The sequence below is a fragment of the Homo sapiens genome, chromosome 12 (genome assembly GCF_000001405.40).
Source record: "Homo sapiens chromosome 12, GRCh38.p14 Primary Assembly".
NCBI classification, from domain to species: domain Eukaryota; kingdom Metazoa; phylum Chordata; class Mammalia; order Primates; family Hominidae; genus Homo; species Homo sapiens.
This window is the reverse complement of record NC_000012.12, coordinates 88082388-88101389: the sequence shown is the minus strand read 5'-3', so window position 1 is coordinate 88101389 and position 19002 is coordinate 88082388. Positions and strand designations below refer to the sequence as shown.

At 34.5% G+C, this 19002-nt stretch overlaps 1 protein-coding gene across 22 annotated transcripts in view; it reads left to right on the top strand.

The window, feature by feature from the left end:
* Positions 1 to 19002, top strand: part of CEP290 (centrosomal protein 290) — a 93073-nt gene that overhangs the window by 40699 nt on the left and 33372 nt on the right. For all 22 annotated transcript variants that reach the window (XM_017019983.3, XM_047429563.1, NM_025114.4 and 19 more), the window contains 11 exons: positions 4391 to 4502; positions 7415 to 7620; positions 8558 to 8709; positions 10551 to 10662; positions 11903 to 12358; positions 13446 to 13610; positions 14892 to 14999; positions 15217 to 15351; positions 16538 to 16804; positions 17436 to 17543; positions 18160 to 18359. In XM_017019983.3, coding sequence (XP_016875472.1) covers positions 4391 to 4502; positions 7415 to 7620; positions 8558 to 8709; positions 10551 to 10662; positions 11903 to 12358; positions 13446 to 13610; positions 14892 to 14999; positions 15217 to 15351; positions 16538 to 16804; positions 17436 to 17543; positions 18160 to 18359 — 2021 coding nt within the window. The remainder of the gene's footprint in view (positions 1 to 4390; positions 4503 to 7414; positions 7621 to 8557; positions 8710 to 10550; positions 10663 to 11902; positions 12359 to 13445; positions 13611 to 14891; positions 15000 to 15216; positions 15352 to 16537; positions 16805 to 17435; positions 17544 to 18159; positions 18360 to 19002) is intronic.

Sequence of the window (19002 nt, the reverse complement as noted above, 5' to 3'; positions counted from 1 at the left end):
CCTGCCTCAGCCTCCTGAGTAGCTGGTACCACAGGCACCCACCATCATGCCCGGCTAATTTTTTGTATTTTTAGTAGAGATGGGGTTTCACCTTGTTAGCCAGGATGGTGTCGATCTCCTGAACTCGTGATCCACCCGCCTCGGCCTCCTAAAGTGCTGGGATTACAGATGTGAGCCACCGCACCTGGCCCCAGTTGTAATTGTGAATATCTCATACCTATCCCTATTGGCAGTGTCTTAGTTTTATTTTTTATTATCTTTATTGTGGCAGCCATTATTCCTGTCTCTATCTCCAGTCTTACATCCTCCTTACTGCCACAAGAATGATCATTCTAAACATGAATCCTACCCTGTGACTCCCATGTGACTCCCCGCCTTAAAAACTGTCAAAAGCTACCGGTTACCTGAAGGGTAAAAGTCAAGTCCCCTACTTACCTCATGTCATCTAGAGCAAGAGATGAACTAGCTGAGTTTTCTGACCACAGTGTTCTTTCTTATGTATGTTCTTTTGTACGTGCTCTTTTCTATATATAGGGAACCATTTCTCTCTTCCAGTTGTTTTGCTCAGTGAATTTCTATTCCTGTTTCAAAACTTGTTCAGGCATTACCTTTTTTTTCTTAAGCATACTTTTTTTAATGGAACAAAGTCACTCCTGTCTACACTAGTTCTGCATCTTATACATAGGTTTTGTACATAGTACATATTTATATCACATCAAATTATATGTGTTTACATATCTGTCTTCCTTAATGGAATATAAGTCTTTTGATATAAGGAACTATTTAATTTGTTTCTGTGTGTTGAGTATCTCCTGTTTGGCACAGAGTTCAAGCTAATACATGAGAGTGATTAGTGGTGGAGAGCCACAGTGCATGTGGTGTCAAATATGGTGCTTAGGAAATTATTGTTGCTTTTTGAGAGGTAAAGGTTCATGAGACTAGAGGTCACGAAAATCAGATTTCATGTGTGAAGAATGGAATAGATAATAAGGAAATACAAAAACTGGATGGGTAATAAAGCAAAAGAAAAACTTGAAATTTGATAGTAGAAGAAAAAAGAAATAGATGTAGATTGAGGTAGAATCAAGAAGAGGATTCTTTTTTTGTTGTTTTTTTTTTTGAAACAGAGTCTCACTGTGTTGCCCAGGCTGGAGTGCAGTGGAGTGATCTTGGCTTACTGCAACCTCTGCCTCCCAGGTTCAAGCGATTCTTCTGCTTCAGTCTCCCGAGTAGCTGGAATTACAGGTGCCCACCAGCACGGCCGGCTAATTTAGTAGAGACAGGGTTTTGCCATGTTGGCCGGGCTGGTCTCAAACTTTGGATCTCAGGTAATCCGCCAGCCTCAACTTCCCAAAGTGCTGGGATTACAGGCATGAGCCACTGTGCCCAGCCTGTTTTTTTTTTTTTAAAGGAGACCAGTGAAGTTTCAGGAGGAGGGAAAGAAAATTTAGAGTTACTAGGGAGAGAGTGATGAAGATAAGAGATGAAAGTGGTAATAAGGGAAATAGCAAAATATCAGGGTAGGTGGGAGAAAAAGAGATTTGTAACAAACAATAGGATTATCCTGTGAAAAAGGATGAAAGGAAGAAAAAAATGGATAGAAAGATATTTAAAACACCCTCAGCCTCCTGTTTTCCCTCCTGTGTATTCATAGTATATAAAACTATAATTATGTACTTTACTTAAAAAATATATTATTATTACCTTATCGTGCTTATTTAATCATAGCATGTCCTCTTTTTAGTCTCATTACCCTGTTTGTATTATTCTTCATAACACTTAATACCTGACATTGTATTATATATTGGCTTATTTTCCAGGTACTCCACTCAAATATAAGTTCTAGGATATAATTTATTTATCACTGAAATCCATTGCTTAGAGTACCTGGCATGTAGTAAATAGGCATTCTGTTTTTTCAAATAAAAAATAAAGGAACTTAAGATATATATTTATGTTATATCGCCAGCCTTTTTCCTCACAGCTCTATTCTGTTGTACAGAATTACCTACTTTACAATTCCTGTGTTTCAAGGGGATCTCAAATTTAACGTGTCCACAATGAACTCCTGATTTCTGTTTCTCTCCTAGTCATTCTTATTTCAATATATGTTCAGTTACCTAACCAGCTAGTCAAGGCAGATACTTTAGAGTTATTCTGTAGTCATTCTTTTTCCCTACCATTTTTGTTTTCCAAATGTAATTTATGTGTGTCTTCTTCATCCTCGCAGCTCTAACCCTTGTCCAAACCAGCATCATCACTCATCTGGAGTTCCACAATGTCTTTCTGGCTAGTTTCCCTGATTTCTCTATTGACCCCTTTATTCTCCACAGTGCAGCCAGAATGATTGTTTAAAACTTCCTCCTTAAAATCTTTAAATTGTTTTCTTTTATACGTTAAGTTAAATTCCAGTTCCTTGTCTTGGCATGCCATGCCCTGCCTGGTGTGGCCCCTGATGGTCTCTCCAACTTCATGTTTTACTACTATTGACTCTTATTTTTGCTTACTCTGCTTGGGTGCTCCAGTCCTCCAAATCATTTCCTGCTCCAATCATTTCAATCATTTTTTCCTCTCAGATCTTATAGTATTCCAAATGCTTTCTTCCTTTGGAGCATCTGGGTTTACTAATAAATACTTCGTACCTCACAGTTCAGCTTAAATATCAATTATTTGGTGGTTAAGACATCCTTCAACCGCTCTATCTAAATGTTCCTTTCTATTATTCACTGGCTCAGTACTCTGTTTTTATTTTCTTTCTAAATGTCAACTTTTTTTTTTTTGAGTCAGGGTCTCACTGTTGCCCAGGCTCGAGTGCAGTTGCACAATCATAGCTCATTGCAGCCTTGCCCTCCTGGGATCAAGTAATTCTCCCACCTCAGCCTCCAAAATAGCTGGGATTACAGGTATGCATCACCATGCTCAGCTAATTTTTTGTGTTTTTTTGTAGAGATGAGGTCTCACTTTGTTGCCCAGGCTGGTCTCAAACTCCTGGACTCAAGTGATTCTCCCACCTCAGCCTCCCAAAGTGCTGGGGTTACAGGTGTGAGCCACTGCACCTGGTCGATACTGACTTTTTTTTTTTTTTGAGATGGAGTTTTGCTCTGTTGCCCAGGCTAGAGCGCAGTGGTGTGATCTCAGCTCACTGCAACCTCCACCTCCCAGGTTAAAGGGATTCTTCTGCCTCAGTCTCCTGAGTAGCTGGGATTACAGGCAAGTGCCATCATGACTGGCTAATTTTTGTATTTTTAGCACTATGTTTAGTACTGTGTTGGCCAGGCTTGTCTCGAACTCCTGACCTCAAGTGATCCACCCACCTCAGCCTCCCAAAGTGCTGGGATTACAGGTGTGAGCCACCGTAATCGGCCAACATTGACATTTTTAGTAGACTTTTTGTTTGTTTACTTGCTTATTATCTGCTGCCTTCCACACTCTGGCGAAATCCTGCCACCCACCCACACACACATAGGCACTGAATGGGCAGAACTCTGAAGGCCAGAATTTTATATTTCTTTTCACTGTAAACATCATCATCTGTCACTGATGGCACACTAGGATGCTCAGCAACTGTGTGCATGAAGGAAGTAAGCACTAGTTTGTGAAGGCTGCAAAACTCTTGAGTATTCTAAGAGTTTTGGCCAAAATGAATGTACAGCTTTAGTGGCAGAAGCTAATACTCAGAAATTGAGGCCGTATATTGGATAACACAGGATTTGGATGATTATTTTAAAATAATATTTTACATTGTATATATGTGTGTGTGTGTGTGTGTGTGTGTGTGTATGTGTGTGTGTGTGTATATATATATGTATGTATGTGTATTAGTCCGTTCTCATGCTGCTATGAAGAAATACCTGAGACTGGGTAATTTATAAAGGAAAGAGGTTTAATTGACTCACAGTTCCACAGAGCTGGGGAGGCCTCAGAAAACTTAACAGTTATGGCAGAAGGGGAAGCAAACACATTTTTCTTCACATGGTGGCCGGAATTAGAAGAATGTGAGCCGAGCAAAGGGGAAAGCCCCTTATAAAACCATCAGACATCGTGAGAACTTACTATTATGAGAATAGCGTGGGGGAAACCACCCCCACGATTCAATTACCTCCCACCAAATCCCTCCCATGACATATGAGGATTATGGGAACTATGATTCAAGATGAGATTTGGGTAGGGACACAGCCAAACCATATCAGTATGTATATGTATACAAGTATTATATATATATGTATGTGTTTGTATGCATACATGTATTATATATGGAGGAAATTCTAATTTTGTAAAAAACTGGATTGTGAGTTTTAAGGAGATGTTATATAAAGTTAAGACAATGTCATTTTGTGGTATTGGTCTGAATTACAATGTAGTTTCTTAGTGATATTTTTCCTTTATTCAGTGTGAAAACATCTCCTTAAAAGAACAAGTGGAGTCTATAAATAAAGAACTGGAGATTACCAAGGAAAAACTTCACACTATTGAACAAGCCTGGGAACAGGAAACTAAATTAGGTAAGTTTTATGACTCTGATAATATAAAATGATTAACATCTAATAATGAATATTTCTTATTTAAAGTTCCTTTTTTATGCTAGATTAAAAGGAAGTATTTTGACTAAAAAAAGAAAGAACTTTCTGCCTAATAATTTAACTTAGGCAGATGAATAATCCTGTACTTAACCCCACCAAAGTTTAGTTTTCAGTCCTTAAGTTAGATTTGTTTCTAATGAAATCATATATGTTAAAAATTTATGACTAAGTATTAGCTACTTTGAACCGTTTAACAATTAAAACTGATGATATTTTATTAATGGTATTATGAGTTCTTTCACTGAGTGCAAGTTATATTAGTTATATATCACTTGATATTTTTAAATTAAAAGATACCAGGAAACAGCAAAGAAAATGTGAAAAGAAGTTGTATTTCTCATAGTTTTACTACTATATTACTGTATATTTTTGCTCCTATATGCTTACATATTTTATATATTTTAAATTATTATAAACATGGTTTTATACTGTATTTAGATAGTAATATCAAAAATATTTTTATGGCCGGCGCAGTGGCTCACACCTGTAATTCCAGCACTTGGGAGGCTGAGGAGAGCAGATCCCCTGGGGTCAGGAGTTCGAGACCAGCCTGGCCAACATGGCAAAACCCCATCTCTACTAAAAGTACAAAAATTAGCCAGGCGTGGTGGCAGTTGCCTGTAATTCCATCTACTCAGGAGGCTGAGGCAGGAGAATTGCTTGAACCTAGGAGTCAGAGGTTGCAGTGAGCCAAGATCATACCACAGCACTCCAGCCTAGGCGATAAGAGTGAGACTCCGTCTCAAAAAAAAAAAAAAATTTGTTTTATTCATCATACTTATAAATACTTATACAATAGCCTAATGTGTTTGAGTGATTAAATCACTAGCTTTTTATATTTTTGCTATTGCTTATAGTGCCACAGTGAACATTTTCATGTATATCTAACAGAGATATTACTGTCTCAGAAGGTATTGAAATCTTTGTTGCTCTCATTAGAGTTTTCCATATTAATTTTTCAAACAGTTATATAGTTTATAAGATTTTCATAATTTTATCTCATATATTGTGCTTCATAATTTTCAAATAAATTTGCTGCTTTCGATAATGTATTTTCATGTATTTGTTTCCTAGACGTTAGAGCTATTCAAGGTTTTTATTACTAAATAGAGCTGTTCTCTTAAATTGGTAATGAGATACTTGGTTTAGAGAAGCCTAACACTGGGAAATCTTACATAAGCTACTTTTAGAAATGTAATTTTTAGCTCAATAAGAGATTAAATATGAATTGACTTTTGTGTAGTATTTGCATGGAAGAAGGTACCATTTAAATGAAGACATGAGAGTATTACGTACAATTTTAGTAGGTTCTTTTTATTTTATCATCTTTATTTTTAATAAATGCTGAATTCCCTACAGAAATTCTTTAATTTTTACATATCTTGATCTCTTTCATATATGGATTTATATCACCGAAGTTTTAAGAGTGTTTCCCTATTCCCTGTTGCCCTTATATCTTTGTTTAAAAATGTCACATCATTAGCTTTTTTTCATCTAGGAATTTGTTAGTGTTGGGCTGTTGTGCTCTACCCTCTCTTTAAGAAAACTCCAAACCCAAAAACATACAAGATGGCTAGTCTGCTTCAGCCTTTGTGATGTGCTTTTCTCTTCTAATCAGAGTTTAGCACAATACAGAATGGAGAAGGACTCCTTTATATATTGGTATTTATTGCAGTATTTTTCTACATGGTGCCTAAGGTTACTTGAATGAGTCTTTATTCCATAATGAACTGATTTACTAATGCTTTTAGCACCTGTTAGTGATCCATTATTGTTAGTTACTTGATTACTGCTTGCCACAGCTATTCTAAAATAATACATTTTAAAGATAAATACAGAACATAATGAAGTACTTTTTAAAACTGAGATAGAGACCAATTTTTTTTTCAGGAAATGTATATTACTTTGAGAAAACTCAGTTATAAAACTTGAACTTATGAAGCTGGAAAAACAGGAGGGGGCATTATTGGTATTGTAAAAGGCTGTTTACAAAGTGAGTTGCTGCTTAGTTCCTTTAAGTAATTGGCTACCCTAAACACATCAGTTTTAAGTTGCTGAAAAGCAAAACACTCTACCAAATTTTGTTTTTTTTCTAGACCATGTTTACAAAGCAAAAGTATGTTTTCTTCCCCCCCCCTCAAAAAATGACTAATGACACTCCTATGCGATGCCTTTTTATGGTAAATTGAGGCTTTTAGTTCTCTTTCCATTTAGCCACAGACTTTTGTGTCCAAAGACAAGCTGCGTAACTGCATATATAAGGTTAAGGCATAACTACTAATAAAAGAATGTAAAATATTTGATATTAGGTCTGTACAAAGACCAAATAATACTCATGATTAGACAAGATTATATTTGGTAGAATCTATCCATCATATGGCTTCAGATTTTACTTTTCAGCTTGGCTTTGTGAGACTTTAAAAATCAAGTCATTGCACTTATATTCACAAAGTCACATTGCTTTACTGCATTGCTTCTCATACAGTTTATCTCCTTTCAGTAAAATGTTTACTTGCCATTTTTAAAATTTCTTATATGTGACACTTCTACACTAAGTCCTTTATGTTGTTAGTTCCACAATTCTGTGAGGAATAGGTTTTTTTTTTTAATCATTTGATTGATGAAGAACATTAAGTTCCACAGAGATTAAATGGTACAGGCATCACACAGGCAGGAAGTAACAGAGCTAAGATTAGAGTCCAGGTCTGATGGAATTCAGAAAGCTAATGTGCTTTCCATGGAACTATAATGCTTTCTAATATACAGCATCTAAAATATCTGAGGTAATTTTAATATAAACAGCATGAGATTGACTTAAATATTATTGCATGTAGGTAATGAATCTAGCATGGATAAGGCAAAGAAATCAATAACCAACAGTGACATTGTTTCCATTTCAAAAAAAATAACTATGCTGGAAATGAAGGAATTAAATGAAAGGCAGCGGGCTGAACATTGTCAAAAAATGTATGAACACTTACGGACTTCGTTAAAGCAAATGGAGGAACGTAATTTTGAATTGGAAACCAAATTTGCTGAGGTTTGATATTATAAGTTTTATCATACAATTATAGAATAAAGAATTAGTTTTGGTAGACATTGTATTATTGTTAAGTGGTTTGTCTGGATCTCTGAAATATCTTATTAATATAGTGCCTATGTTTTGTGTAATAAATAAATAAAAGATTTAAATCTGAATTGTTTAAAAGGAAAGCAGATATTTCTGTAAGTTTTTCTCACCAATGTTATATTATTAGATTTAATTTATGAAATGTTATTTACTAAACAATGGAATTGCCTTTCACCACCATCCCTTCATTTAACAAATATTTATTCATTGCCTATTACATGTCAGACCCTGTGTTGGGACTGGCAGTATAGCAAGAAACAAAATAGACAATAATCTCTACTTTCAGGGACTTTACATTCTAATTGGTGGTTTTATATATTTTTGATGTGGTCAGAATCATTAAACTGTGTGGCAGTAAATATAGTTTGCAAGTATTTAACAATTTATGATTAAACACAACTCTTACAGTGTTTGCTTACCTTGAGATTTAATATATTTTCAAAGCATTTATATCATTTTTGTTTTAACTATGTCACTAAATCTATATGAGTAAGATTTTATTAACTCATTTGGATTTATTTATAGATGATACAATTGAAGTAAAATATAATGAGCAGATTGCATTCTAAGCAAAGTAAGAATATTGCAAGTTCAGATATTATTAGATAATGAGTTGCCTAATAAAAATGACTTTTGGTGGATTGGAATATAACCAGAGTTTCCATAGTTTGTTTCTGATTCTTTCATATTTTTTACCCTCCTTCAGTCTGTTCTTAACACTTCACACTTAATATAATATGTGAACTAAGGCCAAGTAAAGAGGATTGCAGTACTTTAAAAGCTAAATTACAAAGAAAACCTCACCAAAAATTGATGTATCTGAACATTTTTTGTTACATTTCCTTAGCTTACCAAAATCAATTTGGATGCACAGAAGGTGGAACAGATGTTAAGAGATGAATTAGCTGATAGTGTGAGCAAGGCAGTAAGTGATGCTGATAGGCAACGGATTCTAGAATTAGAGAAGAATGAAATGGAACTAAAAGTTGAAGTGTCAAAGTAAGTGCATATAAGCATTTTAGCCATTTGACTAGATGTATCTTCTTTAATTTGTCTTTAAGAAACCCAATTACAGGTATACAATTCTTAGTAGTAATTGATACTGATTTCTTTTTATAAGAACAGGATTAAGTAATATTAAGATCGGTTTTAACAGGGTTAAATAATAATATTGACGAGAATAATATTGTTAAAGAGGAAGTGACCTCTCAAGATTTGCATTTTTTAGAGTTCAGGAATATTATTGCAGAAAGGTCCAGTTCCTCCACATATTGATTTTTTGGGGAAGGGGTGATGGAGGAGGAATGGTTGTTTATTGTATTTAAACTTAAGTTTCTTCATTTTAATAAGGGAGTAATAGTACCTCTTCTACCTGTTTCATAAGGTTGCTGTAAGAATATAATAAAAAATTCAGATTTTGATTTAGTTTACATTTATCGGGCATCTACTATGTACTAGTCACGGTGCAAGGTATTAAACATATATTGACTTGTACAATTATACTTAACCTTGAGGTTATATTTTTGTTTTCATTTTACATGAAGAAATATGCCCAGCTAGTTTAGAACACAAAATATATATAAGGAGTAAATACTGCGTGCTGGCTGGGCGTGGTGACATGTGCCTGTAGCCCCAGCTACTCGGGAGGCAGAGGCAGGAGAATCGCTTGATCCCGGGAGGTGGAGGTTGCAGTGAGCCGAGATCGCGCCACTGCACTCCTGCCTGGTGACAGAGCGAGACTCTGTCAAACAAACAAACAAACAAAGAAAAACAAAACAAAAAAACCGTGTGCCAGCTATATGCTGTATTTTCATTCTCTTTTGTAATTAGGTGATATTTCAGTAGAAAAGTATAAGGAGCACTTAGTTAATCTGTCAAGCATAAATAGTAAAAATATTTTATGGCCTACTCATAAAAATATAACCATTCCTTTGGAGCCTTGATAGTTCTCTTGGGAATATCAGTTTTTGACATCTTTTTCACTATGAAAGACCCTTTTTTTTAAAAAAATTGATCCTTTCTTCTCATGGACCTCTTTTGATATAAACTAACTTATAATAGTTCATTTTAATCATATTTTGTTAATCATGCAACTGGCAATGAGAGCCTCTCATCAGTATGAGGAAACCTGCCTTATCTATAATACTGAACTAAAATTATTCTAACCCAAAGCAAAGAAACTTTACATTTTGCTTTGCCTGTATTAGCTTATCACAGTATTCATGAGGGAATTTGAAGGACTTATTACCATTAGGCTATCTCTTTTTTTTTTTTTTTGTAATTTTATTAAATGCATGTTTTGTTTCTTTTCACATTACTGATAACTTGTAGATTAAAACAAATCAAAACATGCATTAATCCATCTAAGGATCCTAGAAATTTTACATTTCTGTGTTCTTAACTGTGTGATGGTCTTAGATAAATGTACTAAATACCTTATCCTAGCATATTCCAAATTATGACAATAAATGTTTTATGGAAAAAAGTATGGGAACAGAAGTTCTTTGGCTATATACATTTGGAAAATACTATATAGTAAGTATGATTTGAGATAATTATATATGATAGAACCTCTGGGAGCACTGAATATATGTTAGGAATATTCAAGAGGGAGGAGGGATGTTGAGAATGAAGTTTTTTTTATATAGCAAACATGATAACCTCTGATGGAATTATGTTTCATGAAACAGTTTAGGAAATCCTGTTTTAATATTTCATACAAAGAAGAGATAGATGCTGAAAACGAATGGCTTTTTGAAAAAGGGTCTAGAAATTTTGAATTTTGGCATTTACTTAGAAAGTGTACTTAATTGTTCCTGAAATACCTTATCATTTCCTAGACTGAGAGAGATTTCTGATATTGCCAGAAGACAAGTTGAAATTTTGAATGCACAACAACAATCTAGGGACAAGGAAGTAGAGTCCCTCAGAATGCAACTGCTAGACTATCAGGTATGTGCAGTATTGGCTCTTCTACATAGAATCCACTTTTTTCCCTAAATTTACATTAGATGTTGGGAGTGGGATATGTTATACTTTTTGTTTGTTTCGAGATAGGGTCTCATTCTGTTGCCCAGGGTGGAGTGCAGTGGTACATTCAAGGCTCATTGCAGCCTTCACCACCTGGGTTCAGGTGATCCTCCCACCTCAGCCTCTTAGACAGCTGGGACTACAGGCACGTGCCACCACACCTAATTTTTTTGCATTTTTTGTAGAGACAGGGTTTCACCATGTTGCCTAGGCTGGTCCCAAACTCCTGGGTTAAAATGATCTGCCCACCTTGACTTCCCAGAATGCTGGGATTACAGGTATGAGCCACCATGCTGGGCCATTGTTACATTTTTAATCAAAAGATATACCAACCAGAGGCTGTTATTCTTGTTAGTTGGAACCTGATTAGAAAGCTCTTTAATTTGAAATATTGTTCAGTAATCCAGTACAGCATTTAAATGCCTATAGATGAATTATGCTGCTGATCAAAATTAGGACACTGAGAATTGTAGTTAGTAAATCTTTAATAACAATATTTTCTCTTGTATTTATATGTAACTTTTTACATATTCTTACGTTATATATGTTGGGAATTATAAAAACATACACATTGTCCTGATCAGTATTATGTTACTTGCAATGGAGGTTAAAAAAAAACTGTAACAGTCAGGCATGGTGGCTCACGCCTGTAATCCCAGCACTCTGGGAGGCCGAGGCAGGCGGATCACGAGGTCAGGAGTTCGAGACCAGCCTGACCAATATGGTGAAACCCCGTCCCTACTAAAAATACAAAAGTTAGCCAGGCGTGGTGGCATGTGCCTGTAATCCCAGCTACCCAGGAGGCTGAGGCAGGAGAATTGCTTGAACCCGGGAGGTGGAGGTTGCAGTGAGCCAAAATCACGCCATTGCACTCCAGCTTGGGTGACAGAGTGAAACTCTGTCTCAAAAAAAAAAAAAAAAAACACCAGTAACATACCCACTGTTATTCAGTTACATTTGGATTTTAAGTTTGTTTGATTCTAGGTTTTTTCTTTTACAGTTCTTTGGTAATTATTTGTATTAAAGCAAAGTTACATTTTTGTAGATCTCATGTGCCACTGTGTTAAAACTTTGCTTAGTAAATTGTGAATTTTAAATCTGTGATAACTTTCACTGGAAAAATTTGAAACTTACTACAAATATATATTTTTTTTAATATCAGGCACAGTCTGATGAAAAGTCGCTCATTGCCAAGTTGCACCAACATAATGTCTCTCTTCAACTGAGTGAGGCTACTGCTCTTGGTAAGTTGGAGTCAATTACATCTAAACTGCAGAAGATGGAGGCCTACAACTTGCGCTTAGAGCAGAAACTTGATGAAAAAGAACAGGCTCTCTATTATGCTCGTTTGGAGGGAAGAAACAGAGCAAAACATCTGCGCCAAACAATTCAGTCTCTACGACGACAGTTTAGTGGAGCTTTACCCTTGGCACAACAGGAAAAGTTCTCCAAAACAATGATTCAACTACAAAATGACAAACTTAAGATAATGCAAGAAATGAAAAATTCTCAACAAGAACATAGAAATATGGAGAACAAAACATTGGAGATGGAATTAAAATTAAAGGGCCTGGAAGAGTTAATAAGCACTTTAAAGGATACCAAAGGAGCCCAAAAGGTAAACATTTAAACTTGATTTTTTTTTTTAAGAGACAGTATCTTGATCTGTTTCCCAGGCTGGAGTTCAGTGGTGCAAACATAGCTGGAACTCCTGGGCTCAAGGGACTCTCTAGCCTCAGCCTCCTGAGTAGTTGTAGCTGGCAGTACAGGTGCACACCACCATACCTACCTAATTTTTTAAAATTTTTAAATTTTTTTGTAGAGACAAGGTCTCACTTTGTCACCCAGGCTGGCCTTGAACTCCTGGCTTCAAGTAATCCTCCTGCTTTGGTCTCTCAAAAGTGCTGAGATTACAGGCATGAGCCACTGTGCCCAGCCAATTTTAAATTCATTATCTTCAAAAGAGTTACATGATAATTTCTTAATATATGCCTATATGAAAAATGCTTAAGATACAAATTCCAATTATGATTCATTAATTTAGATTTTATAACTTAGCAGTGTTGGCTATTTGAATGTCTATTATACGTAAAAATAAAATTAGGCTTTTCTAACCAAAGATTTTAGTGGGAATGTTCAGATTGTATAATAGCAAAGAATTTTAATTACTATAGGAAAATTTATATTAATTAAACACTAATTATTATATTTAAACATTGTAGTAGTTATCAGTTGATTTCTACTGTTCATAATTATCTTTGATCTACAAGTAGTGGGCCCACATTTACTTTTAATATGGTTTAATCTTCATTTAGAAAGAATTAAATGAAAAATAATTATCTTGCAACTACATCCTGTTCTCTAGGCTAGAAACATTTAGGATTTCTGTTTTTGAAAGTAATACCAAAGTTCCAATGACCTGCTTATAGTCAGTGTTCAATAAACGTATAACAAATGAAAGTGAATATTAGTGATGTCCATTCCAACATAATTTGAAGATTTTTATTGTAAAATCCCACATATTTGTAGAAAAGTCTATGGAAATCCTAAATAAGATTTTGTCATGTAGTTTGACAAAAGATAACATTGTGTCTTATTTTATTTTAGAATGGCCATTACTTTCAATTAAAATCATTATCATCAATGGAGGAATGTTATTTGTTAATATAGCATTTATATTTGTGTATATAAATTGTAAATCTTAGGTAATCAACTGGCATATGAAAATAGAAGAACTTCGTCTTCAAGAACTTAAACTAAATCGGGAATTAGTCAAGGATAAAGAAGAAATAAAATATTTGAATAACATAATTTCTGAATATGAACGTACAATCAGCAGTCTTGAAGAAGAAATTGTGCAACAGAACAAGGTTTTATTTTATATTTATTTCATTTTTTTCCCTAAGTTTTTTTTTTTTTTTTTTTTTTTTGAGATGGAGTCTCACTCTGTCGCCCAGACTGGAGTGCAGTGGCGTGATCTCGGCTCACTGCAAGCTCTGCCTCCCGGGTTCATGCCATTCTCCTGCCTCAGCCTCCCAAGTAGCTGGGACTACAGGCACCCGCCACCGTGCCTGGCTAATTTTTTGTATTTTTAGTAGAGACGGGGTTTCACCATATTAGCCAGGATGGTCTTGATCTCCTGACCTCATGATCCGCCCGCCTCGGCCTCCCAAAGTGCTGGGATTACAGGCGTGAGCCCCTAAGATTTTAAACAAGAATATTGCACAAATGACTATGTTATCCTTCTAATTAAGTGCACCTTCCATTACTAATTGATTATATAATAATTTGTTTTTTATTTTCTAAACTATTCTAAAAATTCATATTTATTTAGCTTTTATAACAGTAGTCTTAATCTTAAAAACGGCAATACATAAGCAACCTCATTTGGTAAGTTAATTTTTATTTTGATATTGGTTATTTGACTTTTCACAGTTCCACGTTTCTACTGGCTCTCACTGATAGAGTAAGAAGTCAGCTTCTTATAGAATAAAGTATATACTTCAGAGACAGATGAAATTCGTCAAACATATGACTGTCTCAGAGATTGTTCCCCCTGCTTAAATTGTTCTTACCCTAGATACCTTTGGTATTTACACTGTCAGTGCCTGCAGGTCTTAGCTCAAATGTCTTACCTTATCAGTGTATCCTTCACCAGCCACCTAATATACAACAGTAAATCCTACTATCCAGATTCCTAAATAGAGATTAATTAACTTAATTTTTCTCCAAAGTGCTTGTAACCTTCTGACGTATTACATACTTACTGGTTTATTATTGACTGTCTTTCCTTCGCCAGAATGCAAGTTCCGTGGTGACACGGACTTGGTTTTGTTTACTGCCATGTTTGTATTTCCTAGAATGATGCTTGGCACATAATATATGTCATCAAATATCTTTCGTATAGCTGAACGGATGGATGGATGGATGGATGGATGGATGGATAGACTGAAATCCTTACTTCACATCTGCCTTTGTGATCTTACACAAGTTACTTCACCTCTCTGAGTTTGTATTTTTTTCCATAAAAGGAAAATAATTACAGTTTCTTCAATGTGTTGTGAGGATTAGATAAGAAAATATATATAAAATGCCTGTTATGTGCCTGATGTCTTCGTGTATGTGTCTGACACAAATTGTCCTTTTTTTAGTTTCATGAAGAAAGACAAATGGCCTGGGATCAAAGAGAAGTTGACCTGGAACGCCAACTAGACATTTTTGACCGTCAGCAAAATGAAATACTAAATGCGGCACAAAAGGTATGAATGATTAATCTTGTTTGTTACTCTGTAGCATAGTCTAGAGTGTTAACTCACAGAAATATTTCCTGTATCAGATGTAATTTTAATTGATGTTATATTGTATATTTAAAATATAAGAGGGGTTTAATCTATGTTTTATCATACAGCTGTAAAAATTAATAGTTACTCTCAATGCTGCAACTGCTTTTTTAAAAAACATACTATTTCTTAATAGTTTGAAGAAGCTACAGGATCAATCCCTGACCCTAGTTTGCCCCTTCCAAATCAACTTGAGATCGCTCTAAGGAAAATTAAGGAGAACATTCGAATAATTCTAGAAACACGGGCAACTTGCAAATCACTAGAAGAGGTAATTAGAAGAATTTGCATTTTGATTAGTGTATTATTTGGTATGTTTGGGGGGCTTTCTAAATAATATTTCTTTATGAGGGCAATGCATAGAATGATGAATCTATTGCTAATTTCACTATTTTTCTATTCTCCTATAATGTTTCTAATAGCCAATAATGAACAGCAGATATAGTTAATTTGAATTCACTATTTAATTATTAGTTGGTACCTTTCGGTACACTGAATATGAAAGGAAATAAAAAGCATTTAATTGTAGTTCTATGAGCAATATATTCTCTTATATGATCTCTTTATTCTTACTTTTTTGGTTTTATTTTGAAGTGCATGTTACATAATCTATGAATCAATTTTCAGTTCATTGCCTTTAATGCATGGTTAAAGGGTTGAAGGTAAATTAGAAATTACTTTCTGTTTTAACCTAGATCTTGAATTTGATTAGTAGGTGATCAAATCTGTCATCTTCATTAAATTATTCAGAAAATAATGTAAACTGAATGTGTTTTCATTTTAGTTTTCATCTAAATAAACTGCAAATACATTTAAAATATACATAAAGAAGTTTTTCAAGTAAAACTGTACATTTTTAATCATTTCAGGAAACGTAGATTTTCTTCAGTAATTTTAAGATTTGTCATTTATGTGAATTGCCATTGAATTACTTAATTTAAAATACTCACCTTAATCCTCTTGAAGAGTAAAAATTTTTCTGTTTTTTTCTCTTTGTTTTAATAAGCTGCGGATTTTATATTCGTAATTTATTGAGTTGGGCCTCTAAAATTCCAGTTTTGTACTTAACTGACTTATAGATTAGTCTCCTAATGCTCTGCTAGTCAATGGACCAAAATAAAAGAAATAATTTATTACATATTCTTCCTAAATCTAGTACCACCATACATGTATAATTCTAAACTGTAATATCTCAATAAAGTACCTTAATTAAATTTTATGTTCATCATAACAATGAAGTTTCTAGCATATGTAATAGTCTTATAAATAAGCATGCAAATAACTGCTGTCAATTAGAATTAGTCAGTTTAACCTTATTAAGTATCAAATGGCTATTGTACATATGATGTGAAAAATAAAGTGAATTTTTTTTGGCTAATAACTAATCTAAAATTCAGATGAAGCATTTTAAAGGGAAAAAGATACTTTAATGATTTATTATAATTTAATCATTGCAGAAACTAAAAGAGAAAGAATCTGCTTTAAGGTTAGCAGAACAAAATATACTGTCAAGAGACAAAGTAATCAATGAACTGAGGCTTCGATTGCCTGCCACTGCAGAAAGAGAAAAGCTCATAGCTGAGCTAGGCAGAAAAGAGATGGAACCAAAATCTCACCACACATTGAAAATTGCTCATCAAACCATTGCAAACATGCAAGCAAGGTTAAATCAAAAAGAAGAAGTATTAAAGAAGTATCAACGTCTTCTAGAAAAAGCCAGAGAGGTATTTTATTATATTATGAGTTATGCTGTTATCCATTAGTTTTTTTAAGCAAATGCTAAATATTATTTTACCCTAAAGTGGTATTTCTTTTCTTGCTTTCAAATGATTCTATTTAAGAATTGTTACTTGCATGTGATTGGATTACACCTCTGTCAGTAAAACTGGAAGTTTGTGTACATGTATCTTTCTATTATACACTGACTAAACCACGAGTAGCTATCATGGTGAAATCATATGATTTTGAAAAATATTTTAATTGAGTTTATAGGTGAGGATTGAGGCAATAGGGTGGAATGAAATATATCACACCGGTAATCAGTAGAAATCAGATTTGTTAGAACTTCGTGGGGGAAAGCTAACATTTAATTTTTTCTAGAAGTAAGTTAAAAGATGATAGATACATGTCATTCTAATGTTAAGAATAAATTATGAACTGAGGCTGGGCTTGTCAACTTGAACATTGTCTGAGGGGACATGCATACCAGTCTAGATACATACATATATGGAGATACTGTTTCTTCCTCATCTCAAAGGAATTTTAGAAGATTGAAGAGAAAATATATAAGGTCTTCAAAATGTGAATTTGTTTTAATCACAATTTAAGATATAGTTTCGATTTTCTGTAAAACAGGAGCAAAGAGAAATTGTGAAGAAACATGAGGAAGACCTTCATATTCTTCATCACAGATTAGAACTACAGGCTGATAGTTCACTAAATAAATTCAAACAAACGGCTTGGGTAAGATTCTAAGAACTTTGTTCCATTCTTTATTGATTTTTGTGACCATGTAAATTAAAATTCAGCTCTCTTCTTTTTTGGAATGGAAGTTACCCTTTTTGTTGCCAAAATAATCTTCTGAAAACATAGCTCTGATCATTCTTCCTCCTGTAGCTCACCGCTGTTCACAAAATTATATTTATAATTCTTAGCCATGTACTCAATCTGCTATGAACCTACCTGCCTTTCTTTTCAAATTCTACTCACTGTGAGTTTAGCTATATCTAACTTCCAGAATTCAGCTCATATTTGCCTCTTTTGACCATTCTGTTCCATATGTATGAAATGACATGTCTTTCATCTTTTAATGTGTAACCTTAGCATATTTGAGCATTACCTCGTTAATTCGGTCAACACTTATTGATCTCCTGCTACGTGCAGACATTTTGCTAGCTATTGTAAATACAAATAATAAAGTCTGCATTTCCTGTCTTCTTTAAGCCTTCATTGCCTATTAAATCATTACATTTTAGATTAGATATTATATTTTGATCATTTGAGGAACCAAATTAAAAATATGGAATAAGTATGGCATTGAATTATACATGCCTATTGCTAATATATTCATATTTTATAGGATTTAATGAAACAGTCTCCCACTCCAGTTCCTACCAACAAGCATTTTATTCGTCTGGCTGAGATGGAACAGACAGTAGCAGAACAAGATGACTCTCTTTCCTCACTCTTGGTCAAACTAAAGAAAGTATCACAAGATTTGGAGAGACAAAGAGAAATCACTGAATTAAAAGTAAAAGAATTTGAAAATATCAAATTACAGTAAGTCTTCGAAATGTATTGTAAAAATAGGCAAATGATAAGTGATATAATGAAGATAAACATAAGTGTTTGCTATGCCAGGCACTGTTCTAAGACTTTTAAGTATATTGTCTCATTTTTATCCTCAGGACTGCTGGTTACATATGTTATCATTTTCCCCATTTTAAAGAGAGGATATGGCCTCAGGAATGCTTAATAGCATGTCTGGGGGTAGATGGGAAAGCCATAATTTGAAACTAGTCAGTCTGACTCAAAAGCCAATACAAATTCTTTTCCAGAATCTCATTTTTACCTTCTTTGAGCCTCAGTTTCATCTTATTTATTTATTTTTATTTTTGAGACAAGGTCTGGCTCTATTTCCTAGGCTGGAGTGCAGTGACATAATCTCAGCTCACTGCAACCTTGACCTTCCAGGCTCAAACCATCTTCCCACCTCAGCCTGCAGAGTAGCTGGCACTACAGGCAGGTGCCACCACACCTGGGTAGTTTTTTTGTATTTTTGTAGAGACAAGGTTTCTCCATGTTGCCCAGGCTGGTCTTGAACTCGTGAGCTCAAGTGATCCGCCCACTTCGGCCTCCCAAAGTGCTGGGATTACAGGCCTGAGCCATTGCACCCAGCCTCATCATCTTTAAAATGGAAATA